This window comes from Homo sapiens, chromosome 19, assembly GCF_000001405.40.
Source record: "Homo sapiens chromosome 19, GRCh38.p14 Primary Assembly".
In the NCBI taxonomy this organism is placed as follows: Eukaryota; Metazoa; Chordata; class Mammalia; order Primates; family Hominidae; genus Homo; species Homo sapiens.
Window position 1 is genome coordinate 35187952 of NC_000019.10, and position 27998 is coordinate 35215949.

A 27998-nucleotide genomic window follows, 5' to 3' on the forward strand; every position below is an offset into this window, starting at 1 on the left:
TTAGAGGACTATTCAAATTGTCTGATTTCTCTTGAATCAGTTTCAGTAGTATATGTCTTCTAATAATTTATTTCAACTGGGCGCAGTGGCTCACGCCAGTCCCAACACTTTGAAAGGCCAAGGCAGGTGGATCACTTGAGGTCAGGAGTTCGAGACCAGCCTGGCCAACATGGTGAAACCCCATTTCTGCTAAAAATACAAAAATTAGCCAGGCATGGTGGTGGGTACCTGTAATCCCAGCTACTTTGGAGGCTGAGCAGGATAATCGCTTGAATCCGGGAGGCTGAGGTTGCAGTGAGCCAAAATCACACCACTGCACTCCATCCTGGGCGACAGAGCAAGACTTCATCTCAAAAAAAAAAAAAAAAAAAAAGAATTTACGGCCAGCACGATGGCTCATGCCTGTAATCCCAGCACTTTGGGAGGCTGAGGAGGGTGGATCACTAGGTCAGGAGTTCAAGACCAGCCTGGCCTCAAGACCAGCCTGGCCAACATAGTGAAACCCTGTCTCTACTAAAAATACAAAAAAATTAGCCAAGAGTGGTGGCGGGCGCCTGTAGTCCCAGCTATTTGGGAGGCTGAGGCAGGAGAATCGCTTGAACCCAGGAGGTGGAGATTGCAGATCGCCACCATGCCTGGCTAATTTTTGTATTTTTAGTAGAGACAGGGTTTCGCCATGTTGGCCAGGCTGGTCTCGAACTCCTGACCTCAGGTGATCCTCTCACCTGAACCTCCCAAAGTTCTATGATTACAGGCATGAGCCACTGTGCCCAGCCGCATGATTTTGATTTTAATTTTAAAATCAAAATTTTATACAGATTTGTTTTGTTGCCTAGTGCAGGTTCTATCCTACAGAATATTCTCCGTGCAGTCGAGAAGATTGTGTATTCTGCTTTTGTTGGGAGAAGTGTGCTATAGTTGTCTGTTATATCTGGTTGATTAATACTGTTCAGATCTTCCATTTTCTTGTTGATTTTATGCCTAGTTGTTCTATCCATTATTGGAAGTGAGGTACTGAAGTCTCCAACTATTATTGTGGATTTGTTCATTTCTCTATTCATTTTTATTAGTTTTTGCTTTATGTATTTTGGTGCTTTATTATTAGATGTATATGTGTTTATATTGTTATATATTCTGATGGACTGACCGCCTTATCATTATACAATGCTTCTCTTTATCTGTAATAACTTTTTTGTTACAAAGCTTATTTTTTCTGACGTTAGTATTGCCACTCCAGCTTTCTTGTAGTCACTGCATGATATATTGATATATTGTCTTTCATCATTTTACTTTACATTTTTGAATCTTACATGTTTTTCCTATAGATAGCTTTTGGCTGTATCTTGGTTTTTAAAAAAAATCTAGTCTGAAATATTTGACTTTTAATTGAATTGTTCATTTCATCAACATTTAATGTTATTATTTATACAATTGGATTTACATCTGCCATATTAGCTTGTGTTTCCTACAAAATTTCTTTATTAGTGCCAGGGGTTTTTTGTTTTATTTATTGATTGATTTTATATTTATTGAGATTTTCTACATAAACAATCATTTCAACTGGGGATGGGAACAGTTTTATTTTTTCCTTCCCAATCTATATGCCTCTTACTTCCATTTCTTGACTTATTACACTGGCTAAGACTTTCAATATGATGTTGAATAGAAATGGTGAACATGCTTGTCTTGTTCCCAATCTTAAGAAAGAAAGCATTCATTTTTCACTGTTTGGTATGATATTAGCTGTAGGCTTTTTGATGCTCTTTATCAGGTTGATGAAGTTCTCTTCTATTCCTAGTTTGCTAGGATTATTTTTTGCAAAACAAAACAAAACATGTATGAGTGTTTTATTTTGTCAATACTTTGTCTGCACCTATTGATATAATCATGATTTTTCTTCTTTAGATGGTTAATATGGTAATAGTGATTGATTTTAAAAAATTGGACCATTGTTGCATTCTTAGTATAAATCCCATTTGGTCATAGTTTATTGTATTTATTCATTTATTATTATTATTATTTTGAGACAGAGTTTCACTCTTGTTGCCCAGGCTGGAGTGCAATGGCAGGATCTCGGCTCACCCCAACCTCTGCCTCCTGGGTTCAAGTGATTCTCCTGCCTCATCCTCCTAAGTAGCTGGGATTACAGGCTGTGCACCACCATGCCTGGCTAATTTTGTATTTTTAGTAGAGATGAGTTTTCTCCATGTTGGTCAGTCTGGTCTTGAACTCCTGATCTCAGGTGATCCGCCCACCTCAGACTCCCAAAGTGCTGGGATTACAGGTGTGAGCCACCGCGCCCGGCCGGTCATAGTTTACTACTCATTTTACATATTGCCGAGTTCAATTTGCTAACATTTTATTGAGTATTTTTGCATCTATATTCATGAGGAGTATTTTAGTTGTGTTTATTATTATTTTTTGTACTGTCTATCTGGTTTGTCATCAGGGTAATGCTGGCTTCATAACATGAGTTGGAGAGTATTTCTCCTTTTGTATTTTCTGGAAGAAATTATGAAGAATTAGTGCTATTTCTTCTTTAAATTACTTATTTAAAACCATTGAAACCACCTGGGCCAGGAGATTTTTTAAAATGGCATTAACTATACATGCAATTTATTTAATAGTTACTAGACTATTCATATTATCTATTTCAACAGTGGTGAATGTAGTAGCTGGTAGTTTTTGAGAAATTGGTCCATTTCATCTAAATTTTGATATTTATGTGTATAGAGTTATTACTGATATTCCTTTATAAGCTTTTTAATAATTATAGGGTCTGTGGTGATAGCTGTCCTCTTTCTACCCTAATATTGATAATCCCTCCCTTCTCTCTCTTCTCTCTTTATCTCTACCTCTATCTCTTTCTCTCCCTTCTTCTCTCCTCAGTCTTGTTAGAGGTTTATCAATTTTACTGATCTTTTCAAAGAAACAGCTTTTGGTTTTACTGATTTCTTCTATTGCTTTTTTGTTTTCATTGATTTTTGCACTTATTTTTTCCTTGCTCTTCATTTGGGTTTATTTTGCTCTTCATTTTCTAATTTCCTATGGTGAAAACTTAGATTATTGACTTGAGATCTTTCTTCTTTTCTAATATAATCAACATTTAAGACTATACATTTTTATATAAGCACTTCTTTAACAGAATTCCACAAATTTTGATAGGTTTCTTACTTTCTTTCAGCTACAAATATTTCCTAATTCCCTTTGGAATGTCCTATTTTTCAAATGATTAAAGATTGTCCTGTTATCTTCCTGTTATTGATTTCTAGTTTAATGCTGGCCAGGTATGGTGGCTCATGCCTGTTATCTCAGCACTTTGGGATGCCAGAGCAGGAGGATCACTTGAGGCAAGGAGTTCAAGACCAACCTGGGCAACATAGCAAGACCTCATCTCTACAAAAAATTTCACGTGAGCCCAGAAGTTTGAGGTTTCAGTGAGCTATGATTGTGCTATTGCACTCCAGCCTGGGTGACAGAGTGAGACTATGTCTCAAAAAAAAAAAAGTTCTAAACGGTCAAAGAACATACTTCATATGATTTCAAATTTTTTCAACTTTTTAACTTCTGTTTCATGACTCACAATTCCATTTGTCACGGTGAGTGTTCCATGTGCATGTAAAAAGGCTGCTTATTCTGCTATTTTGGGGGGAGATGTTCCATAAATATTGATTAAAGCCATTTGGTTGATGGGTAAGTTCTATGTCTGTGATGTATAACTTCTATATCCTTAATTTTCTCTCTACTAATTATATTTATTACTGAGAGGGGAATGTTGGTCTCTAACTACAGTTGTAGAATTATTTATTCTCTTTCCTGTCTTGTCAGTTTTCACTTTGTGTGTTGTTTTTTTTTTCCAGGAAAGAAAAATAAAATGGTTTTTAATACCATATATGGATATTTCATTCTTGGGAATGGTGCTGTGCAATTACTGTGCATGAAATCAGATTATTCAAGAAAGCTGGTTTTTAAATACTAGTGTAATTGCCCCAAAAAAGGCCCAACAAGACCTGCAGCCTGTTTCATGCATGCAACATTTAATCTAACAGCTTCATCAGCCCTCTCTCTGCTTGTCACGGCTTTGCGTATTTTGAAGCTCTGTTAGGTTAATACATCATAATTGACCCTTTTATCAATATGAAATGCTTCTCTTTACTCCTGGTAATTTTTTTCTCTGAACTTTAATTTGTCTGATATAAATATAACAACTCCAGCTTTCTTTTGATTAATTTTACAGGTATATCTTTTTTCACTCTTTTACTTTTAATCTACAAATTTCCTTAAATTTAAAGAGTTTCTTGTTGAGAGCATATAGTTAAGTGAATTTTTTAATCTATTCTCATAATCTCTTTTAATTCATATATTTAGACCATTTACATTTAATGTAATAATTGATATGTTTGGGTTGGGTATACCATTTTATCATGTGTTTTCTATTTGTTTCATTTATTTTTTATTTTATTTTTTTTCTGAGATGGAGTCTTGCTCTGTTTTCCAGGCTGGAGTGCAGTGGCATGATCTCAGCTCACTGCAACCTCCGCCTCCTGGGTTTAAGCAATTCTCCTGCCTCAGCCTCCTGAGTAGCTGGGATTACAGACACCCACCACCACACCCTGCTAATTTTTGTATTTTTAGTAGAGATGAGGTTTCACCATGTTAGCCAGGCTGGTCTCGAACTCCTGACCTCATGATCTGCCTGCCTCAGCCCCCCAAAGTGCTAGGATTACAGGTATGAACCACTGTGCCCAGCCTATTTTGTTTTTGTTCCTCTCTTTTTCCTTTCCTGACATTTTTTTTGCTTATTTGAACATAGTTTAGTCTTCCATTTTAAGTTATCAATTATGATTTTTACTATAACTATTTGTATAAGTTTTAGTGGTAACTCTAGGGATTACAAAATGCACACTGAACTTTTTACACTGTATTTAGAAACAATATTTTATCACTCAAAACTTTAGCACTAGTAGGTCTCTTAATTCTCCCCCTTATGTTATACTTGTCATGTATTACATACACATTCATGAAAATTCCATGGCCAATGTTATAGTTTTTTTTTTTTCCAACTGTAAAACAGATTTTAAGGAACTCAAGAGGAGAATAGCCTATTATATTTACCCAGGTAGTTATTACTTCTGTTGTTCCTCCTTTATTCCTGATGTTCCAAGTTTCCTTCCGGTATCATTTCCCTTCTGTCTGAAGCAATTCCTTTAGCAATGTTTTTTACAGCATTTCCGCTGGGTATGAATTTTCTTAGTTTTACTTAATCTAAGAATGTCTTTATTTCGCCTTTATTCCTGAAAGTTATTTTCACTGGAGATAGAATTCCAGATTGACACTTATTTTCTTTCAGCACTTTAAGAATATTAGGCCATTTCCTTCTGGCTTCCATGGTTTCTGCTGAGAAATATGCCATCATTTGAATTATTCACATGTATTGGCTTGTTGGGTTTTTTTTCTTTTCTTTTTTTTTTTTTTTTTCTTCTTTCAAGATATTTTCTTCATATTTAATTTTTAGCAGTTTAATTATGATTTGTCTGTGCATGGATTTCTGTGGGTTTATCCTATTTGGGGTTCACTTAGCTCCTTGAATCTGCAGGTTTAAGTCTGTATATAGGGAAAACAAACTGTTTTTCCTCTTCTATACTCACCCTCAGCACTCAACACTTCTGATGCCAGATGTGTGGGGTTCCTTCCCCCCCCAAACAAGCAATTCTCCTATGGCAGTTGGGAGTCCTACAATTCAATTCAGTTCTAACACTATTTACCTAGAGACAGTGTCAGATCCCAAAAGTTAAGGGCTCAGTCCCGTAAGACTGCATCCCACTTCAGATGTCAATCATAAGTGATAGATTCCCAGGTTATCCACAACTTCTGTCTGACTTGGCTACAAATTACAGGTTCACAAGATCCTTTACTTGGGTTCAGTCATTTGCTAGAATGGCTCACAGAACCCACTCTGTATGCTGAAACTGAGAATTAACTTGATTAAGCCCACTGAACTTAAACTGCCTTACTTACTTTTAATTCCTTACTTCTAGTTAATCTTAATAACTATATAGCTAAAAGTCATGTAACTAAGCAATCTACTATCTTCCTTATAGATAATATCTCTGATGTATAGGTCACCATGGTAACAGTTGCTTAAAGTTATTTTTCATGAATTTGGGGTCAGCTCTTGTCCAGTTCAAGCCGCTTGAGACCACTTCACCTGGGCCTGCGTGAATGTCCAAGAGGTGAGCTTCTGACACCAGAGGGCCATAAAGATCTTCCTACAGATCATACTAACGCCACCATTTTCTAAACATGCTTCCTATGAAGAGCCATGAGGCTTGACTATGTGTGTGCAGATTGCCAATTACCTCACTTTTTCTTATCCCAATTCCCTTTCTCCACACCTCAGACCACTCTGCTTCTTTATCTCATAAATATCCCTAAATCCCATCTTTGGGGAGGCAGATTTGAGACCCATTCACCCACCTCCTCACTTGGCTGTCTCATGAACAAACCCTTTATTTTTTGCAAAACCTTTCGCCACAGTGATTGGCTTATTGAGTGCAGGCAAAATGAACCTTGCTCAGTATCAGTATTTACCCACTTGTTACAAAGAATCCAAATCAGGAACAGCCGGATGGAAGATGCATAGGGCAAGATATGAGGGAAGGGGTGCAGAGCTTCATGTCCTGTCCAGCTGTACCTGCCTCCTAGCATTTCCACTTGTTCAGCAACCCAGAAGCTCTCAGAACCCTATCTGTTAGGGTTTTGGTGGAAAGCTTCATTACATAGGCATGATTGATTGCATCGTTGGCCTTTGGTGATGAACTCTACCTTCACTCCCCGTCCCGCTCCCCAGAGATGGAGGTGGGGTGTGGCTAGAAGTTCTAGCCCACTCATCACGTGTTTGGTTCTCTGGGCAAGGAGACCTCATTCTGAAGCTGTCCTGGATCCCCCAACCATCAGTCATCTCATTAGCATACAAAAATATTTCAGTTGTTTTAGGAGCAGTGTGTCAGGAAGTGGGGGAAGGCATAGACCAAAATTTATTTCTTGGCCGGGTGCGGTGGCTCATGCCTGTAATCCCAGCAGTTTGGGAGGCCGAGGCGGATGGATCATTTGAGGTCAGGAGTTGGAGACCAGCCTGGCCAACATGGTGAAACCCCGTCTCTACTAAAAATACAAAAATTAGCCAGGCATGGTGGCGCATGCCTGTAATCCCAGCTACTCGGGAGGCTAAGACAGTAGAATCGCTGGAACCCAGGAGGCAGAGGTTTCAGTGGCACCACTGCACTCCAGCCTGGGCGACAGAGCTAGACTCTCTCAAAAAAAAAAAAAAAAAAATTACTTCTTATTATGTCACAATGGCTTTTGCTAAACTTGAGATGTTTTCTGTCATTATTTCTTCAAAATATTTTTCAGCACCGCACTTTCCTCTGGCCTCTGGGATACAAATGTTAGACCTTTGTGGTTGTCCCACAGGTTCCTAAGGCACTGTTCAATTTTTTTTTTTAAGTCTTTTTTCTTTCTACTATACAGATTTGGTTATTTTTATTGTTGTATCTTTATGTTGACTGACTCTCTTCTCCCATCTCCATTTTGTTATTGAGCCCATTCGATGAATATTTTATTTTGGTTATAGTGTTTTTCAGTTGCACAATTTCCATTTGTTTCTTCTTCATGTGTTTTATTTCCTTGCTGATATCTTTAATATTTGTTTTAAGAGTTTTTTTATATAATTGCAAAGTTTACATCATTGCAATAGCATGAATTGATTGTCTTTTCCCATGAGAGTTAAGAATTTTGGTATCCTTTGTATGCCAAGTAATTTTGGACTGCATCCTGCACATTTTGAACATTATATTATGACACTCTGAGTCTTGTTTAAATCCTATTGAGAATATTGATGGTTTTGTTTTAGTGGCCAGTTAACCTGGGTAAATTCAGACTGCTAAGTTCCTACTTGCCTTCTATGCCCTGTAGTTCCAATGTCAGTTCAGTTTTTGAAGCATTTGCAATGCTATTCTGATCTATCTTCCAAATGTGTCATCCAGTGGTCAGTCTGGGCCCTGGGCAGAAGTCTAATCATTAGCTCAGTTTCCAGTCTGCGGCATGCTAATTAGGGCCAGATGAGTCCATGAGTTCATAAATAACTTTATGGGGTGACTTTCTCAAGCCCTTCCCTCTCTGTTATCTTCCGATACTTTCTGGTTCCCTGGGCTCCCCTTTCTGATCCTCCAGACAGAAACTGCCCAATTTCATGATTGTGCCAGGTCTAGGATCAAGAGGTTGGAGAACAGAGAGGGAGAAAAAAAAGCAATGGAGTCTGATCCTTTCCACTGAATGGAGAGAAAAGTCCTTTCCTGAATTTTTGGCTTCTGCCAGCTGCTCTGCTACTGCAATGGGATTGCTCGAAAGAAAACAGAAAAGGGGGAGAAAATAAATTCTCCCCACTCTCTCTGAACTTTAGGAGTACCCTTTCCTGCTCCTTCAGCCAGGCCTCTCCTAGGTTTCTCCCTGTCTGCACCACAGTGCTCATTTCCAAGTTTTGGACTGTATTGAGTTCAGGTCAGGGGATACAGGAGGAAAATAATATAGTAAACTCATCATTGATTTGGTGGCACTTTGAATTTTTGTGTTCCTTTCCCAATGCAACTGTTGTAACTGACTTTCCAAAATTGTCAAATAGCTGGGCCATGTATTCTGTCTGGATTTTCTAGTTGTGTTCAGTGGAAAAGAAAGTGTAGCACGTGTTTACTCCTTCTTGCCTGGGTTTACTACTTCTTTCCCAGAACTGGAACTTGAAATGGACTTTTGAAGATTTGGTTTCAGTGTCATCTGTCTTAGTCTATTCAGGCTGCTCTAGCAAAAATACCATAAACTGGGTGGCTTAAACACTGGAAATTTATTGCTCACAGTTCTGGAGGCTGGTAAGTCCAAGATTAAGGTACCAGAAGATTCGGTGTCTGGTGAGGGCTTACTCTCCGGTTCATAAACAGTCCCTTCTCACTGTGTCTTCACATGGTAGAAGGAGCAAAGTATCTCTCTTGAGTCTTCTTCACAACAGCACTAATCTCATTCATGAGGGATCTTCCCTCATGACCTAATCATCCTCCCAAAGGCTCCACCTCCTAATACTATCACCTCAGGGATTAGAATTTCAACATATGAGGCCGGGTGCAGTGACTCACACCTGTAATGCCAGTACTTTGGGAGGCCGAGGCAGGCAGATCACTTGAGGTAAGGAGTTCGAGACCAGCCTGGCCAACGTGGTGAAACCCTGTCTCTACTAAAATACAAAAATTAGCTGGGTGTGGTGGTGCGCACCTGTAGTCCCAGCTACTCAGGAGGCTGAGGTGGGAGGATCGCTTGAACTCAGGAGGTGGAGGTTGCAGTGAGCTGAGATCATGCCACCACACTCTGGGTGACAGAGCGAGGCTCTGAAAAAAAAAAATTCAACATATGAATTTGGCAGGGAGGACACAGACATTCAGATCATAGCATAATCTATATGGCAACACCTGTGGGGCTGGAGCAATGTCCTCTAGGATGTGGTATGTGCCCTAAATCAATGACTAATATATGGTGCTGTCTTTCCCCAGGCAGGATTCATGGGTTCCCAACACAAAGGGATGAAAATAGGATTGGATTTTCTCATTATTTCCCCTAGTGATCCACTATCAAAATTTTTGCTACCTCCCACAACTCTAGGTTCTTCTGGTCTAGAGGTCCTATTTCCAAAGGGAGTGATGCTTCCACCAGCAGACACAACAATGATTCCAGTGAACTGGAAGTTGAGACTGCCCCCTGGCTACTTTGGGCTCCTCATGCCACTGAATCAACAGGCCACAGGGGAGGTCACTGTACTGGCCAAGGCAATTAATTCTGAGTATCAAAGGGAAATTGAGTATAAAGAGTATGTCTGGAATACAGAATATGGTCTAGGGTGTCTCTTAGTACTATCATGTCTTGTGATTGAAGTCAATGGAAAACTACTGCAACTCAATTGAGACAGGGCTGCTAATGGCTCAGGTCCTTCCGAAGTGAGGGTTTAGGTCACCCTACCAGGCAAAGATCCAACCAGATGAGGTAGTTGCTGAGGGCAAAGCGAATATGGAATAGGTAATGGGAAAGGTAACTGTAAACATAATTATAAATGCCAGCCATGATTATGTGTCCAGAAATAAAAAACTGTAGTAGTGTAAACCAAAACTAAAATCCTAAACCCCCCAAACAACTGAACACACCCCCTCTTGGCTGAGGGGGATCACAGAGAAACCTGAAACACTGAATTCCCGGCCATGACAGGAAGGGAGGTCAGACGTGCCTCATTTCAGCCCCTCCATTTTGAGAAGTTAGGCACAACTGACCAGCATTAATATTAAAATGGGGCCAGATATATGTGTTTTGCCCCATGATAAAGGACCCTGGCTCCACCAGGATACCCACACCACCAAGGTTGGAGGCAACAAGAACTGAAATGGGGCTGGGCGCAGTGGCTCATGCCTGTAATCCCAGCACTTTGGGAGTCCAAGGTGGGAGGATCACTTGAAGCCAGGAATTTGAGACCAGCCTGGGAAACACAGCAAGACCCCATTTCTACAAAAAATTTTGAAAAATTAGCCAGGTGTGGTTGTGCACACCTGGCATCCCAGCTGTTTGGGAGGCTGAGGCAGGAGGATTGCTTGAGCTCGGGAGGTCAAGGCTACGGTGAGCTATGATCATGCCACTGCACTCCAGTGTAGGTGACAGACTGTAATCCTGTCTCAAAAATATAAAAAATAAAATAAATAAAATTTACAAAAGAACTCACATGGGGTTTGGTTTGTCCTTGTGGACTCCGGCTTATGCATGTTGGTTCCATCTTGTTCTTTGCTCTCCCCAACCTTTCCTCCATCTTCCCTTCCTGACTTCCTGCACCTATGGGGTTCAGTTCCAGCATCTGACTCAAAGATAACAACCTGACAGAGACCATTTAGCCAGCTCCCTAAATTGCATAAGATCAAATCCAGTAACAAGTCCTTTTGTAGCAGCTAATCAGTCTATAGGTATATCTTAGTGGTGCTTCAGCCCCCCACCTGTGATTCAATCCTGACTGATCCAGGCACCAAATTCTAGCCACTTCACAACCAGAGCCTGGAATATGTGTATGACCCCTTAAGAATAGGAGAGCTGGCTGGAGGAGAGCTTCTGTTATTATCTGACTGAAGTCTCAATTAAAAAAAGAAATGCAAGGATGGAATTTCACAGGAAAGTAGAAGAACCCCAGACAGGAGGGCTGCAAAGAGAAGGCTGTTGGAGGGAGGCTGAGAAGAGAAAAAGGGAGCAGGAGAGAGTAGCTTGCACTTCAGACACCTCCTTTTCCAAGCCTAGGGGGGGCAAGAAAGGTGGGTAAAGTCACATCCTTGAGCCCTCCAAGAAGAGATCTGCATGACTATAGGCGACATATGTTGCTGCACCCTGCTTAGCTACCATTTTCTCCTCTTTGGGTCACAGCACTCCTGTTTTCCTTTAGGGCGCACTTCTACCCATGTTCAGCCCCTATGATTTAAGTAAGATGCGATCCCCTCTCCAAGCTCTAGAAATGGACATATGTCCCAGGCCTGGGAAATGGGAATCTATGTAACCCTGGTGACTGTTCTTGGTTCTGGGACAGATTCATGGTCACACTGAACTGAGACCCAATTCTAGGACGTTTGCTGATCCTCTGTCTGGGTTGCTCAGATGGTAGAATGTGAACCTGGAGCTGCTGGTGGCCACTGTTTCCCCCAGAAGGGAGGAGTCAGTTTGAGAATGAGGTCAACACAGAGGCACATTGAACTGGCAGAAGGGACAGGGAGACACTCCTCATGTCATCCTTTGAGCACCTGGATACAACTATGTCTGAAGCTAAATATAGCTGGACTTTTTAGTTATGTGTACCATTAAGTTCCATCTTTGTCATTGTTATTGTTGTCTTTCTAATTAAGTCAATTTGAAATCGGGGTTCTGGCACTAGCAACAGAGTAAAAACTAATAAACTGACCTTTCAGTAAAAGAATTTGTTAACGCCCATCTCATATCTCAGGTGTGTTTGATTTGGGGGAAGAGCAGGGAGGCTGGAAATACTATTACCGATGGTAGCTAACTTTGTCGAGGACTTACTATGCACCAGATGCTCTTCAAACACTATACACATTGTACCTTATAATCCTCAAAACAACCCTATGAGGTGGCTACTAAAATTGCCCCCCGTTTTATTTATTTATTTTTTGAGACAGAGTCTCACTCTTGTCGCCCAGGCTGGACTGCAGTGGTGCGATCTTGGCTCTTTGCAACCTCTGCCTCCCGGGTTCAAGTGATTCTCCTTCCTCAGCCTCCTGAGTAGCTGGGATTATAGGCACCCGCCACCATGCCCGGCTAATTTTGTATTTTTAGTAGAGACGGGATTTCACCATGTTGGCCAGGCTAGTCTCAAACTCCTGACCTCAAGTGATCTGCCCGCCTCGGCCTCCCAAAGTGCTGGGATTACAGGTGTGAGCCTCCGTGCCCAGCTGCCCCCAGTTTTAGATGATCAGTTTAGTTTAGATCAGAGAGCTTAGGCAGCCACCTCAAGGTTATACAACAAGCAAGAAGCATTGTTAGGAAGGGAGTGTCCACCGCTTCCTGACAATAGTGGCTGAGATGACTTCCCGGGCATGGGAATGGGAGAGGGAGACATTGAATCCCCCAATTTGGACCCGTCCAGGTTATCTAAGCACAACCTCTTGCAATGCTGAATGGGAGGGGTCCTGCCTCTGGCTAGTCAGGAAAGACCTTCTTTATTTTGGGCTAGAAGTGCCCCCTCATAATTGCCACCTAACAGTCCTCCTGCCCTCTGTGGTCACAGGTAAGTGGAGCTCTGTTTCTCTCACTGTAAGACTAGCAGATGCTAGAAGCAGCTGTGCCCTTTCACCGCCAACCCCTGGTTTCTTCGATTGTTACTTGGAGGCTTTCCTGGCTGCCCTCAAAGTATCTTCTTGGTGTGGGCTGATTAGCTCCCACCTTAATTACCTCCTGACATCACCTCAAAGCTCACTTTAGGCTGAAGAAAAACTATAAAGTAAATGCTTCTTATTTTACTGCCAGTGAAATGATGAGCTTTTCAGTGCTGTGGATTTTTTTTTTTCTTATCATGTTCACGTCTGACCTTTCAGAGGCTGACTTCTAAAATGCAGGTTAGCAAAAGTCATGTCAGGAGGAGATGGAGATGTCTCCTCTCCTCTGCATCTGTGAAGAGGACAGTGAGTGCAATCTGCACCATAAATCTAGTTTGCAGAATCCGATAGGACGAGGTGTAAAAGAGGGCATGGCAATGCGGGAGTAGCTTTGTGAGAATTGCTCTTTGCATAAAAACCAGAGGCCTCGTGCTGCCTCAGATCCCGCGTGGCCGGGATGCTCACATCTGCAGCCTGGTATCTCCATCTCTCACTCTGCTGCTACATCCTCTCCACTCCAGCTATGCTGTGCAGACTCACCATCCTCTCTCAGCACTGGTCTTTTGTACACACTATTCCTTCTCATTGAAATACTGTTCCCCGCATTCTTTGTCTAGTTAAATCCCCTCATCCTTTAAGTCTCTGCTCAAACTTCGTGTCCTTGGAGAAGCCTTGTTCGAATTCCTTCTGTTATCTTCTCTCATGAATTCCTATACTTCTCCTTCATAGCAGGTGTATAGAACATAGCACACATAAGGCACGTGTTTATATGTGTTTTTGTGGTTGAGTAAAGTGTGCCCCCGTCCTTTTAGGACAGCCTGTGCCAGGGCAGGGACCAGGTCTTGGTCACTGCTGACTAGCAGTGTGCTCATAAAGGTTTGACAACCCTTGTAGGGGCTGGGGGATGCTGACTTATAGAGTTGCTGATTCCGTAGTATAAATCTTCCACCACGACTGATTTCAAGCTACCAATGTGAGTTCAACCATAACTCCTGAAAAACTTAACAAAGGGCTCTTGTGAGTTGGGATAAACTGGCTTCAGCACATAATATGGTTTGGCTGTGTCCCCACCTAAATCTCATCTTGAATTGTAGTTCCCATAATCCCCATGTGTCAGGGGGAGGAACGCAGTGGGAGGTAACTGAATCATGGAGGAGGTTACCCTCATGCTGTTCTCATGATAGCGAGTGTGTTCTCATGAGATTTGATGGTTTTATAAGGGGCTTTTCCCCCTTTGGCTCAGCACTTCTCTCTCTTGCACCAGGTGAAGAAGAACATGTTTGCTTTCCCTTCCACCATGATTGTAAGTTTCCTGAGGTCTCCCTAGCCATGCTGAACTGTGAGTCAATTAAACCTCTTTTCTTTATAAATTACCCAGTCTCCGGTACGTCTTTTTTTTTTTTTTTTTTTTTTTGAGAGAGAGTCTCGCTCTGTTGCCCAGGCTGGAATGCAGTGGCGCAATCTCAGCTCACTGCAAGCTCCGCCTCCCAGGTTCATGCCATTCTCCTTCCTCAGCCTCCCGAGTAGCTGGGACTACAGGCATCCGCCACCATGCCCGTCTAATTTTTTGTATTTTTAGTAGAGACAGGGTTTCACAATGTTAGCCAGGATGGTCTCGGTCTCCTGATCTCATGATCTTCCCGCCTCGGCCTCCCCGAGGATTACAGGCGTGAGCCACTGCACCCAGCCTTCAGGTATGTCTTTATTAGCAGTGTGAGAACAGATTAATACAGCACGCCACTGCTGCTGACCCTCCAACACCTGGTACAGATTTGTGGAATGAATGAATGAAGTTAGGCCCAGAAAGCAGAGCCTCCTCTGCCTGTGCCTATCCATGGTATACTCTCCATCTGTCTGCTGTAGAAATTAGCTTTAAGCAAAAGTACAGCATTTTCTATCAAGTAAAATACATTCAGTGTAATGCAAAGGAATATTCTATGAGTAAAACTTTCCCATTTTCCCCTGGTGTTAAAACATACTTTCTAGTGTGTAATTAGAGCTTTGCATGCTGTGAGTAGTGACTCGTTAGTGGTTCATGAGATCAATTTAGAAGGTCCTAACCAGCAATTTTTTTCTGAAATGGAATTAAGTAGAAGAAAAAAGAAATTTCAGAGTATCAGAGTTTGTCTCCAGCCTTAAGTAAGTGTTACTTTGGTAAACTCTTATTGTGAGTGTGTATTGTTGACAGAAAAGCCAAACTTTGTGAAATATTTAAAGAGGTTTATTCTGAGCCTATAAGAGTGGCCATGGCCTGGGGTACAGTCTCAAGAGATCCTGAGAACATGTGCCTGAGGGGGTCAGGTTACAGTTTGGTTTTATACATTTTAGGGAGACAGGAGTTACAGGCAAAGACATAAATCAATACACGGAAGGTGTACATTGGTTCAGCCTAAAGAGGTGGGATATCTTGAGTCAGAGGGTGGGGAACAGGGCTTACAGGCGGATTCAAAGACTTTCTGATTGCCATTTGGTTGGAAGAGTTAAGCTTTGCCTAAAGACTGAAGAAGTCCTTAGAAAAGAATGCTTGAGCTAACATAAGGGGTTGTAGAAGACAAGGCCCTTGTTATGCAGATGAAGTCTCCTAAGTGGCAGCGCTCAGAGAACATGTGACCAGGGTCAGCTTGGAATTTGGGATCTGATTGCCATAAAGAGTCTACTCTGTCAGTCCTGTGATCTGTATTTTAATGTTAATGTTGGTCAGTTGGGCCTAAACTCCAGAAGGGAGGGGCTAGAATGAGGCATGTGCACCTCCCATTTCTTCATGGCTAGAATTCAGTTGTTCAGATGTCTCTGGGGTCCCTTTGGCCCAGAAGGGGGTCCACTTAGTTAGTTGGGGGGCTCAGGATTTTATTTTTGGTTCAAAGTATATATTCTAGGTTGTGATGTCAAATGACTCTCTTACAGTTAACAACAAAAGTGTGAAAGCTACTGTGGTTGATAGCAATATCCTTTGGTTTAGTAGCTTTGTTTTATTTTCCATGTTATTACTTGGAAATTCTTTTCCCCTGGACCCTCCTAAGTCTCTGTCTCCTATCCCCCAGAGACCTAAAGGGTGAAGACACTGAGCTTCCAGATTTGAGGGCAGGAGAGTCCTAGTGAGGCCTGGCTTGGAGGCCAGGGAACTTCCTATTCCAGTCTGCAATGTTACCCTTCAATCTCCAGCTCCCCTGGCTGTTGGTGCCCACCCCAGAGTTGTGGAAGCCCTTTCAGTCTAGCTGCCCCACTTGGTGACAGCATGGGCAGGGCAGGACAGGGAGCATCATGGGGTTCATGCTTTCTGCCGTCCAGCCTCCCTACATGCAGGGCGATGGCCCCTAGCTGACCCTTGAGAGCTGAGGGGAGGCTAGGAAGAGGGTTAAAGGCGAAGCCAGACCCAGGCCATTACTGAAGTCACATGGCCTGCCAGGAAACCCCTGTCTATATTGTAGCTGGTTGAACTAATTATATTATAAATACTTTTCCATTTTCTGCCTAGAACCATGCTCTAGACATCTGCATGAGGTCATTAAACCTGCACCACAGCCATGCACACACACGTGTGTGTGTGTGTGTGTGTGTAAAAGACAGACATGAGGTATAGAAGAGCAATATAGAGGTCTCCATATTATGGGGGAACAGACAGTCCCAGAGCAGGGAGGTCACTTGAACAGGGTCACAGAGGCAGGAGGCCACGAACCTGGCTGGACACTGCAGGGCCAAGCAGGTAAACACTGTGCCTGACTCGCACCCAGACTTCGCAACAACCCTAGAATATTCATAAGTCAGTAATAATAGTGTTACAGGAAAGGAGTCCCGATCCAGACCCCAAGAGAGGGTTCTTGGATTCCCACAAGAGAGAATTCAGGGCAGGTCCATAAAGTGAAAGCAAGTTTATTAGGAAAATAAAGGAATAAAGAATGGCTACTCCATAGACAGAGCAGCCCCGAGGACTGCTGGTTGCCCATTTTTATGGTTATTTCTTGATGATATGCTACACAAGGGGTGGATTATTCATTTCTCCCCTTTTTAGACCATAGAGGGTAACTTCCCGACATCGCCATGGTATTTGTAAACTGTCATGGCGCTGGTGGGAGTGTAGCAGTGAGGACGACCAGAGGTCACTCTCGTGGCCATCTTGGTTTTGATGGGTATTATCTGGCTTCTTTATTGCATCCTGTTTTATCAGCAAGGTCTTTATGACCTGCATCTTGTGTTGACCTCCTATCTCACCCTGTGACTCAGAATGCCTTAACCATCTGGGGATGCAGCCCAGTAAGTCTCAGCCTCATTTTACCTGGCCCCTACTCAAGATGGGGTTGCTCTGGTTCAAACGCCTCTGACAGGGTGACAACTGTGACCACAACAGATTCACAAACATGACATTTTCAGAGAGAGGAAGGTATGCAGGGTGGTGTGATTTGGAAGAGGCTGTGGGCGTAGAGGGATGGGTAATTCAGTTGGGGTGGTCAGGGAGGGCTGCTTGGTGGAGGGGACTCTTGGCTGAGACCTGAGGGCTGTGAAGTTCTTAGAGAAGGGTGTTCCAGGCAGAGGGAACAGCAAGCACAAAGGCCTGAGACGAGAGCTAGCTTGGTATGCAAGAGGAACAGAAAAGAGGAAGTGAGAGTAAGGCGGGGGAGGGAAGGGGCAGGGAATGGAGGCTGTGGAGAGGGGAGGGTTTCCAGGCAGCCCAGGACCCTCAAGGAGAGAAACGTTGGATGTAGTCTCCCAGGTAGGGTCCATCTGGCCCTTCCTCCTGGCTCCTGCGGAGTCCGAGTGGCTCTTTCCCTCCTTCCCTCCTCTCCCCTCCTCCTTCTCTCCCTCTCCATTTTCCCTGCAAGGTCTGCAGCCCAACTCCAGCTCTCCCATTACTACAGGGGCTGGTGGGTCCTTCTGAGCAAGAAGATGGGGCTCTTTGTCTACAGTGTCTGTCTATAGTCATTCACCCACTCATTCATTTAATCATTCACTCATTCATTCATTCATTTAGCCACTCATTTGTCAAATATTGATTTTTCTCAGGTGTTTTGCCCTCACAGGTCCTGCCGCCTAAAACACTGACTTCTTATCTCTCAAGGCTTTGCTTTCAACACTGTCTCTTCCAAGACCTCTCCCTGACCACTCCCAACTTACTAAACCCCTATCACCCTGTTAGCTTTTGAATGCTCTTCATGGTAAAACAGGACAGGTTGATGCTCTCCGGGGCTCTCTCTACACACAAGAGAGAGATTAGCCTGACGGGCATTCGTTTACCCTTCTCATTTTCTTTGGGAACCAGCCTCCCCTGCTCTTAGTCTATGTGATTCGGACACAGCCAACTACATTTCCCAGATCCAGAAATGAACACGCCATTCCAAGTAAAGCCAATGAGAGACAGCTGCAGGACTTTTGCTGGAACTATTGGGAAAGTGGTGTTTCTTTTTCTGCTATGGTTACTTATCTGCTATGCTCTAAGCCTGGAACTGCTGGAGGTCATCTTTGCTGCATGAAAATGAAGTCAATATTGAGGACAGCAGAGGTGAGAGGGAGAGAGGCATAATCCTGAGTGTATTGCAGGGGCACCTGGATCCAGCCATACCTGAAATCCGAGACTTTCCATTCTAAGAACCAATACATTCTCTTTGTACTTAAGCTAGTTTGGGTTTTAATCACTTGTGCCAGAAGGCCTGATTGATAATAAAACCTCAAAGATAAGCAGGCAGTCAAGCTTAGGTACTTTCCTTTTAAGAGATGCGGGCAGGTGCTTCCTTCTCTCAGAAACCACTCCTCCTCTAGGACCTTCTATTCTAAGAAGCCTGGGTGTTTGAGGTTCGTTCATCCTGAGGCATAAAAACAAGATCAAAGTGCCAGGCCAGACGGAGGCAGAGTGTCTACAGAAGCAGCCGTGCAACTAGCAGCAGGAATTGGGAATCTGCATTATTAATAAGCAAGCCCATTTTCCTTTACTTCTTTGTAAGCAGAGCCTTAATTTTATTAGCCTGTTTATTAGCTCTGACCATGTGTTCAGAAAAAGTACCCTCAGCCTCTGAGTGATCTAAGCCAGGCATAGTTCTCCTGTCTTCTTGTTGGTGATTGGTTCTGGAAAAGGCTGGGACACACTCCTGGCCAAGGAGAAGTCACAGCAGTGACTGACTTGGAGGGGGAGTCTGCTGGGGGCTGGCTAGTGGAAGGCATCTGGGGTAAAATGTTTTTGCTCTTAAAAAGTACTGTAGGAGGCCAGGCATGTTGACTCAGGCCTGTAATCCCAGCACTTTGGGAGGCCAAGATGGGCAGATCACTTGAGGTCAGGAGTTCGAGACCAGCCTGGACAACATGATGAAACCCCATTTCTATTTTTAAAAATACAAAAATTAGCTGGGCATGGTGGTGTGCACCTGTAGTCCCAGCTACTCAGGAAGCTGAGGCAGGAGAATCACTTGAACCTGGGAGGCGGAGGTTGCAGTGAGTGGACATTGCACCACTACACTCCAGCCTGGGTGACAGAGTGAGACTTCATCTCAAAAGAAAAAGAAAAGTACTGTAGGAGGCCAGGTGTGGTGGCTCACACCTGTAATCCCAGCATTTTGGGAGGCCAAGGCAGGAGGATCGCTTGAGCCCAGGAGTTCGAGACCAGCCTGAGCAACATAGCAAGACCCCATCTCCAAAAAAATTTTAAAAAGATACACAAAATTTGCCAGGCGTGGCGGTGTGTGCCTGTATTCCTGGCTACTAAGGAAGCTGAGGAGGGAGAATCACCTGAACCTGGGAGATCAAGGCTGCAGTGAGTCATAATCACACCACTGCACTCCAGCCTGTGTGACACAGCGAGATCCTATCTCAAAAAAAGAAAAAAATAATAATGTAAGAGAAATAAACTTTTTCTTTTCCTCGCAGAGAGAATGTGGCAGTGTGAGGAGGCATTTGCTGGCTTAAGCTGGGCTCTCAAACTCTTAGTCTAGAGCAGAGTTCTAACAGCATCACGTGTTTTTGCTTTCTCTTTCATCCACGTTGAAGAAGAGGGGGTAGTAAAAATATTCCTCTGGTTTAACAAAAAATTCACAAATATTTATCCTTTTCAGAATCTACATGCAATTTAAGTATTAGTCCCAGAATCACAGATGCTGGAATGTTAAAGTTTCTTTGACAAGACATACTGATGATCTCTGAAGTCCCTGCGGCCTGCAAAGAATATTTGCAAACAGAGTTTTATGATGCTGAGGATGATTCTGAAGCCACAGAGAAAGACATCATTTTTCTTCTTTTCTTTCTGCAATTTCTTTCATTAGCACTTCGGAGCACCTATAGTCGCCATGAGTTGAAATCTCATGAGTTAGTAGTAAGAGCAGAATCAGAGAGGCTAAACACTGAAAATACAGAAAGGAAATGGGTAGAGTAGGATTTTAGCAAGAGGAAGTATACGGTTGTGATGCTTTGCACCTATAGGAAATGATGGCTGGGGCTGTGGCAGCCACGTTACCACCGTGAGGGATGACATTGCCCACATGCTGAGGAGCCTGAGTCTATAAGAACATCATTCAACTGATGCATTGACCCCTGGAGAACCTCCCCGCCTTTGGGGGACCAGCAGTTCTGTAAAATAATACGTGTCCTTATTGCTTTTTTTTTTTGAGATGGAGTCTGGCTCTGTCCCCCAGGCGGGAGTGCAGTGGCGCGATCTCGGCTCACTGCAAGATCCACCTCCTGAGTTCACGCCATTCTCCTGCCTCAGCCTCCCGAGTAGCTGGGACTACAGGCGACCGCCACCATGCCTAGTTATTTTTTTGGATTTTTAGTAGAGACGGGGTTTCACCGTGTTAGCCAGGATGATCTCAATCTCCTGAGTTCACGCCATTCTCCTGCCTCAGCCTCCCGAGTAGCTGGGACTACAGGCGACCGCCACCATGCCTAGTTATTTTTTTGGATTTTTAGTAGAGACGGGGTTTCACCGTGTTAGCCAGGATGATCTCAATCTCCTGACCTCGCGATCTGCCTGCCTCGGCCTCCCAAAGTGCTGGGATTACAGGCACGAGCCACTGTGCCTGGCATCCTTATTGTTTTAAGATGTTTGGAATTTATTCTTCTCTTACTTGCAGCCAACAGCATCCTACATGAGGCAGCCAGGGTAAGTGGTCCACATACAATGGGTGAACAAGTGCTTATCCAGGAATTGAAAGAGCCTGGCTCATTCAGTGCTAGGACCAGAGCCCTCAGTGGACATTGTCCCACCTTTCAGCACTGAGGATGCCTCCTCCCCTCCAAGCCAGTCATTGCTGTATGTGATCATGTTAATTAGGTATCCATATTCCACAGGAGGGAGCAACGAGGTTTTCTTTTTTTTTTTTAAGATGGAGTCTTGCTCTGTTGCCCAGGCTGGAGTAAAGTGGTGCCATCTCAGCTCACTACAACCTCCTGGTTCCAGCAATTCTCCTGCCTCAGCCTCCCAGGTAGTTAAGATTACAGGTGCCCACTACCACATTGGGCTAAGTTTTGTATTTTTAGTAGAGATGGGGTTTCACTATGTTGGCCAGGCTGGTCTCAAACTCCTGACCTCAAGCTATCCGCCCACCTTGGCCTCCCAAAGTGCTGGGATTACAGGCATGAGCCACCACGCCTGGCCGCAATGAGGTATTTTTTTGTTTTTTTGTTTTTGTTTTTGTTTTTTTTCAATTCTAGCCGCCAATCACAAAATTTAACTAAGGTCCCTCCCAGCACACACCTGTCATCCATCCTGAAAATTTAAAGTAAAGGTATAAAAATATCAAAACCATGATTGCCTTTGGGGATGGAGTGGAGGTGGGGATTATCTGGGAAGGGGCATAAGGGGATTTTGCAGGGGTCACGGAGATGTTCTTTATCTTAACAGGGGCTTGTAGTCTAAAGCAGAAGCGTATACTTATTACATAAGTGCATTCATTGGTCAAAACTCAGCAAATGGAGATGGGAACAGTGGCTCATGCCTGTAATCTCAGCTACTGAGGAGGCTGATGCATGGGGATCACTTGAGGCCAGGAGGTCAAGACCAGTCTGTGCAACACAGAAAGACCTTATCTCTTTTAAAAAAAAAATTGTTTTAATTCCCCAGGCATAGAACTCACCCTGTGGAGAAAAAAAAAAAAAATTAGCCAGGCGTGGTGGCATATTTCTGTAGTACCAGTTACTTTCAAGGCTGAGGCAGAAGGATCGCTTGAGCCCAGGAGGTCAAGGCTGCAGTAAACTATGATCACACCACTGCACTCCAGTCTGGGGTACAGAGTGGGAGCGCATCTCTAAATAATAATGACAATACTAAGAAATTCAGCAAATGGATGTTTCATATGTGTGCATTTCATTGCATGCAAATTTATAAAATCTCAAAGATAACTGCAAACATTGAACTCCAGTTGGTGATATGAATCCTGAAATGTTTAAGGGTAAAGAGTACTGATGTCTGCTTTAAAATTCTTTAACCTTCTTTAAAAATACATTTTTAAAAAATCAGATGACTTGATAGAGGAATGGACTGATAGATATGTAATAAAGTAAATACAGAAAAATGTTAACAATTGTAGAATCTAGATGATGGGGCCAGGTGCGGTGGCTCACGCCTGTAATCCCAGCACTTTGGGAAGCTGAGGCAGGTGGATCGATCACCTGAGGTCAGGAGTTTGAGACCAGCCTGGCCAACATGGTGAAACACCATCTCTACCAAAAATACAAAAATTAGCCAGGCGTGACAGCGCATGCTTGTAATCCCAGCTACTCAGGAGAATCACTTGAACCCGGGAGGCAGAGGTTGCAGTGATCTGAGATCATATCACTGCACTCCAGCCCGGGTGACAGAGTGAGACTCCGTGTCAAAAAATAAAATAAAATAAAATAAAATAAAATAAAAGTGATGATGATCATAGTTATGAACAACAGTGAGAGTTCACACACTGCCTGTACTGTGGGCAAAGCCCGTTCTCAGTGCTTCGTGTGAATGAATTTGTTCACTCCTCACTACAACCTTCTGAGATAGATACTGTTATTCTCATTCACAGATGTGGACCCTGAGACCAGGGAGGTTGCGTGGCATCATTACATCAGAAGGGGAGTGGTCTGAATCCACTCCTCCCCTTCCAGGGCAGGAAGTCAACAGAGAAGGGCTCTGTGGTAACGTTGACAATCACAAATCAGTGGCATAAACATCTCCTTAAGACATGCAGAGGCAGCTGGGCGTGGTGGCCCACGCCTGTAATCCCACCATGTGGGAGGCCAACGTGGGAGGATCACTTGAGGTTAGGAGTTTGAGACCAGCCTGGGCCACATAGTGAGACCCTGTCTCTACAAAAAAAAAAAAATTAAAAATTAGGTGGGCACGGTGGCTCATGCCTGTAATCCCAGCACTTTGGGAGGCTGAGGCAGGTGGATCACCTGAGGTCAGGAGTTCGAGACCAGCCTGGACAACGTGGTGAAATCCTGTCTTTATTAAAAATACAAAAATTAACCAGGCATGGTGGCAGGTACCTGTAATCCCAGTTACTCAGGAAGCTGAGACAGGAGAATCGCTTGAACCATGGGAGACAGAGATTGCAGTGAGCCGAGATCGCGCCAGTGCACTCCAGCCTGGACGACAAGAGCGAAACTCTGTCTCAATGAAAAAATAAATAAATAAATAAAATTAAAAATTAGCAGGGCATGGTGGTGCATGCCTGTAGTCCTAGCTACTCAGGAGGCTGAGGTGGGAGGATTGTTTGAGCCCAGGAGTTCAAGGCTTCAGTGAGCTATGATTGCACAACTGCACTCCAGCCTGGGCAACAGAACAAGACCCTGTCTCTGAAAAAAAAAAAAAAATGTGGAAATTGTGAGAGACACATGACAACAGAAATGTGACTACTGCTTGCCTCTGGAGGAAGGAAGAGGTGGTGGAGGAGAGATAGGTGGCTGGACACTGTGGCAACACCAGCATACCAGGGGCTGGGAGTGGGGGGCAGTCAGGACATGAGGCCAGAAGCTGTGAATCTTGGAATCTGCAGAGTGCCCCTTATGAGACCCCAAGCATTCATGTAAGCGTCCATGCCCCCACTGATGATATCTGGGCAGAGAGGCAATAAAATCAGAGTTGTTGATCAAGATTTGGAGGCTGCGGTTGGAGGCCGGACATCCTGCCTGCAGGGCAGGCTTCAGCTTGGAAGCTTGCGGCCCAGAACAGTCCCCGTGGGCACACCCAGGCAGAGGGTTTTGCTAGGTGTCTGACCCAGCTTCCAAAGCCAGGGTCTAATAACAACAGCGCCACCAACAACAGGAAACATTTGTGACGCACATGCTGCCAAAGCACTGTTCTAAGCACTCCTTACAGTTTAATCCTCCCAACAATAAGAATGAGGTAGGTACCAGTGCTAACCCCATTTTACATAGGGGGAAACTTAGGCACAGAGAGGAGACCCCATGAAAGGCAATGGGGACACCTCCAGGAACCTCCCACCAAAAAAGATCACTGCAGAGTAAGGACAAATCGAACATCAGATTTCCTCAAGGGTGGGCACTTTCTCGATGCATTTCTGGTGCCCTCTTTTGGATTTCAGCCTCAGTGGCCACAACACCACGGGTGTCAGTGACAGGAGCAAACCAAATGCACTGGGGACTCAGCTGGGAGGAGCCGCCCTGGCATTCCCACCATGTCCGTGAAATGGGGGGAATCGTGGTATGTACTTGAGAATCAACAGAGGCTGGGCGAGGAAGACTTGGGATACTTGTGAGCCCATTCTAACATCAGCAATTGCTAATATCATGTTTATTGCCTTGAATAAAAGAGATGAAGAAATAAAGGAAAAAGAGGAAAGGAAGGGGGAAAGGAATGAAGAAAGGAGAGACAAGAAATAAAGCATTTTAGGCCGGGCCTGGGGGCTCACACCTGTAATCTCAGTACTTGGGAAGACTGAGGTGGGCATATCACTTGAGGTCAGGAGTTCAAGACCAGCCTGGCCAACATGGCAAAACCCCATCTCTACTAAAAATACAAAAACTAGGCCGGGCACGGTGTCTCACGCCTATAATCCCAGCACTTTGGGAGGCCGAGGCAGGCGGATCACGAGGTCAGGAGATCGAGACCATCCTGGCTAACACAATGAAACTCCACCTCTACTGAAAAAAAAATACGAAAAAAGTTAGCCGGGCGTGGTGGCATGCACCTGTAGTCCCAGCTCCTCGGGAGGCTGAGGCAGGAGAATAGCGTGAACCCGGGAAGAGGAGCTTGCAGTGAGCCAAGATCACACCACTGCACTCCAGCCTGGGCAACAGAGCAAGACTCTGTCTCAAAAAAAAAAATGCAAAAACTAGCTGGGCATCGTAATGCACACCTGTAATCCCAGCTACTGGGGAGGCTGAGACAGGAGAATCACTTGAACCCAGGAGGTGGAGGTTGCAGTGAGCCAAGGTCGCACCACTGCACTCCAGCCTGGGCAACACAGCAAGACTCCATCTCAAAAGAAAAAAAAAAGAAAAGTATTTTAATATCAAAGAAGAAGGAAGAGGGCCAGAAAGAAGAGATAGGGCTGAAAAAAGAAGGCAGGAAACAAGCAGAATGTTTCCAAAGAGTCCCATGAACTATTCAGAAAACAGTTGTTTTGTTTTGTTTTGTTTTGAGACGGAGTCTTGCTCTGTCACCCAGGCAGGAGTGCAGTGGCATGATCTCGGCTCACTGCAACCCCACCTCCTGGGTTCAAGTGATTCTTCTGCCTCAGCCTCCTGAGTAGCTGGGATTATAGGTACACGCCACCATGCCCAGCTAATTTTTGTATTTTTAGTAGAGACGGGGTTTCAACATATTGGCCAGGCTGGTCTCAAACTCCTGACCTCATGATCCACTCACTTTGGCCTCCCAAAGTGCTGGGATTACCGCGCCCGGCCAAGAATTTTGTCTTTAAAGGAGTTGACAGTGGGGTGTGGACCGTGTAGCCGAGACAGCTTGCAGGGTGAGTTAAGAGTCCGCCTGGATTCCATCCCCAGCCCTGCCACACTTTGTCCATGAAGCAAGTGACTGTCCCTTCCCAAGCCTCAGTTTCTGCACTGCAGAATGGGGACCATTGTCCGTGGCATTTCCACAGGTTGGCGTGAGAACCTGTTGAGCCCACGCAGCAAGGTGTGCCTGTTGTCTATGGTAAGGGGCAGACGGCATTGCCTACTTTCCACTCGTAAGATGTCATTGCATGTACCCGGTTCTCACTTGGCAGATGAATCAAAGGGCTATAAATAGCCATGTCTTGGTTTCTCATAAACGCATTAAATATGACTTGGCATCTTGCCCAGGCTTCCTGTCAGGGCAGTGGACGAGGATTGTTTTGCAGAGGTCTGATGAGTGTCAAGGTTATAGTCACGTGCAGGTGCGTGAGGCAGGACTCGAAGTGAGCCCCAGCTGCCCTGGGGAATGAGGGGGTCTTCCCTTCCACCCCCATGCCCTCCTTGGCATAGGTTTACACCAGCCACTGTGGGCCCTGGCAAGCCCCGCCTTGTGGCTCAGGCTGGGCCACTGGCCTCTTTGCTGGCTTTGCCTGGACTCACCCCACTGGTCCAGCTTGCATTTGGTCAGTCTATTCACAGGTGAATTCTGGGAAGACTGGACCCGGCTATGGGAAGAGGGGAGAGGAGGGAAAGGTGGACACATGACTCGTGAGCTTGCTGGGCTGTCCTGGGCCCCTCCCTCCATCTTACTTCATGAAGTTCTCTGAGGCTGACCTCACCCCTGACTCAGGGATGAGGCCCTGGGGGTGGCAGATGTGGACTCTGGAACCCCGCTGCCTAGGTTCAAGTCCCAGCTGCTCCATAGAGGACCTCAGGCTTGTCTATGCTCTCAGTACCTCAATTTCCCCCCTCTGTGAAATGAAGGTAATGCCTCATAGAATCTACCTCATGGGGCTGCTGGAAGGATTCAATGGATGTTGATCATGATCATGATTTCCTGATACTCAGAATAATGCCAGGCACAGATTATCTGCTCTGAAAAACGTTTTGCTATTATTATTTTTCTGCTAGTGATAGTTAAGAGCAAGGACTCTAGACCCAGCCCAGTTGGGTTCAACGCTCAGCTCCACCACTTGCAACCAATGTAACCTTAAACCTGGATATAATCTCTCTGTGTCAGAGGCATGTGAACCAGAACAACTCCATCTTGAATGGGGCTGGGTAAAATGAGGCTGCATTCCCAGATGGTTAGGCATTCTAACTCACAGGATGAGATTGGAGGTCAGCACAAGATACAGGTCATAATGACCTTGCTGATAAAACAGTTTGCAGTAAAGAAGCTGGCCAAAACCCACCAAAACCAGAGTGACCTCTGTTCGTCCTCAATATGACACTCCCATCAGCACCATGACAGTTTACAAATACCATGGCAACATCAGGAAGTTACCCTATATGGTCTAAAAAGGGGAGACATGAATAACCCACCCCTTGTTTAGCGTAACATCAAGAAATAACCATAAAAATGGGCAGCCAGATGCCCTCAGGGCTGCTCTGTCTATTGAGTAGCCATTCTTTATTCGTTTACTTTTTTAATAAACTTGCCTTCATTTTACTCTACGGAATTGCCCTGAATTCTTTCTTGTGCGAGATCCAAGAACCCTCTCTTGGGGTCTGGATCCGGACCCCTTTCCTGTAATGTCTGTGCCTCAGTTCCTTCATCTGTAAAATGGGAGTGATGATTATCTGTACCTTATAGGGTGTAATAGGGATAAAATAAGCAAACACCCGCCAAGTACTCAGACGAGAGCCTGGCACACAGTAAATACTCCAATGTTGTTGCTACCATTGATGTTCTTGTTACAGGTGGTTGTGCTCACCCCGCATCAAGGTTGCTAAGCTGCTGTGATGGAATCCTGGAGCTGCTGAAGGACACCTCATCTCTTTGTGGGAAGCATCTGCTTGAGGATTAAGGGAATGCAGAAAAAAAGTGGAGTAGAGAGATGGAGGAAGATGACTTTCGAGGACATTGTGTGAGCACCTGGATCTAACTGTGCCTGAAGCAAAACTCAAACCCTGGACTCTCAATGTATTGGCTCTCAGTTCCAAGACCCAATAAATTCCTTCTTAGCTTAGAATGCTTTGCTCAGATGTCTGTTACTTCCAGCCAAATGTGTTTTA

The 27998-nt window shown here is 44.3% G+C and overlaps 1 long non-coding RNA gene across 2 annotated transcripts, besides 7 other annotated features; it reads left to right on the forward strand.

Moving 5' to 3' along the window:
• Window positions 15131–15648: an enhancer, noted in NCBI's record as "OCT4-NANOG-H3K27ac hESC enhancer chr19:35693985-35694502 (GRCh37/hg19 assembly coordinates)". NCBI's record gives its function as "activates a minimal SCP1, AML or CMV promoter by ChIP-STARR-seq in naive and primed H9 embryonic stem cells {active_cell/tissue: H9 hESC(naive and primed)}" and the evidence as "EXISTENCE:reporter gene assay evidence [ECO:0000049][PMID:30033119]".
• Window positions 15649–16166: an enhancer, noted in NCBI's record as "OCT4-NANOG-H3K27ac-H3K4me1 hESC enhancer chr19:35694503-35695020 (GRCh37/hg19 assembly coordinates)". NCBI's record gives its function as "activates a minimal SCP1, AML or CMV promoter by ChIP-STARR-seq in naive and primed H9 embryonic stem cells {active_cell/tissue: H9 hESC(naive and primed)}" and the evidence as "EXISTENCE:reporter gene assay evidence [ECO:0000049][PMID:30033119]".
• Window positions 16167–16684: an enhancer, noted in NCBI's record as "H3K27ac-H3K4me1 hESC enhancer chr19:35695021-35695538 (GRCh37/hg19 assembly coordinates)". NCBI's record gives its function as "activates a minimal SCP1, AML or CMV promoter by ChIP-STARR-seq in naive and primed H9 embryonic stem cells {active_cell/tissue: H9 hESC(naive and primed)}" and the evidence as "EXISTENCE:reporter gene assay evidence [ECO:0000049][PMID:30033119]".
• On the forward strand, window positions 17170–27955 carry LOC105372379 (uncharacterized). 2 transcript variants are annotated; one of them, XR_935937.2, is made up of 4 exons: window positions 17170–17325; window positions 18202–18441; window positions 22922–23033; window positions 27684–27955. It is a non-coding gene; the product is annotated as an uncharacterized LOC105372379 (long non-coding RNA). The 2 variants fall into 2 exon arrangements; XR_935938.2 differs by lacking the exon at window positions 22922–23033.
• Window positions 17660–17829: an enhancer, noted in NCBI's record as "active region_14458". NCBI's record gives its function as "activates an Ori minimal core promoter by ATAC-STARR-seq in GM12878 lymphoblastoid cells {active_cell/tissue: GM12878}" and the evidence as "EXISTENCE:reporter gene assay evidence [ECO:0000049][PMID:35858748]".
• Window positions 23726–24537: an enhancer, noted in NCBI's record as "H3K27ac-H3K4me1 hESC enhancer chr19:35702580-35703391 (GRCh37/hg19 assembly coordinates)". NCBI's record gives its function as "activates a minimal SCP1, AML or CMV promoter by ChIP-STARR-seq in primed H9 embryonic stem cells {active_cell/tissue: H9 hESC(primed)}" and the evidence as "EXISTENCE:reporter gene assay evidence [ECO:0000049][PMID:30033119]".
• Window positions 25786–25985: an enhancer, noted in NCBI's record as "active region_14459". NCBI's record gives its function as "activates an Ori minimal core promoter by ATAC-STARR-seq in GM12878 lymphoblastoid cells {active_cell/tissue: GM12878}" and the evidence as "EXISTENCE:reporter gene assay evidence [ECO:0000049][PMID:35858748]".
• Window positions 26026–26075: an enhancer, noted in NCBI's record as "active region_14460". NCBI's record gives its function as "activates an Ori minimal core promoter by ATAC-STARR-seq in GM12878 lymphoblastoid cells {active_cell/tissue: GM12878}" and the evidence as "EXISTENCE:reporter gene assay evidence [ECO:0000049][PMID:35858748]".
• Window positions 27956–27998: the final 43 nt, after the last annotated feature.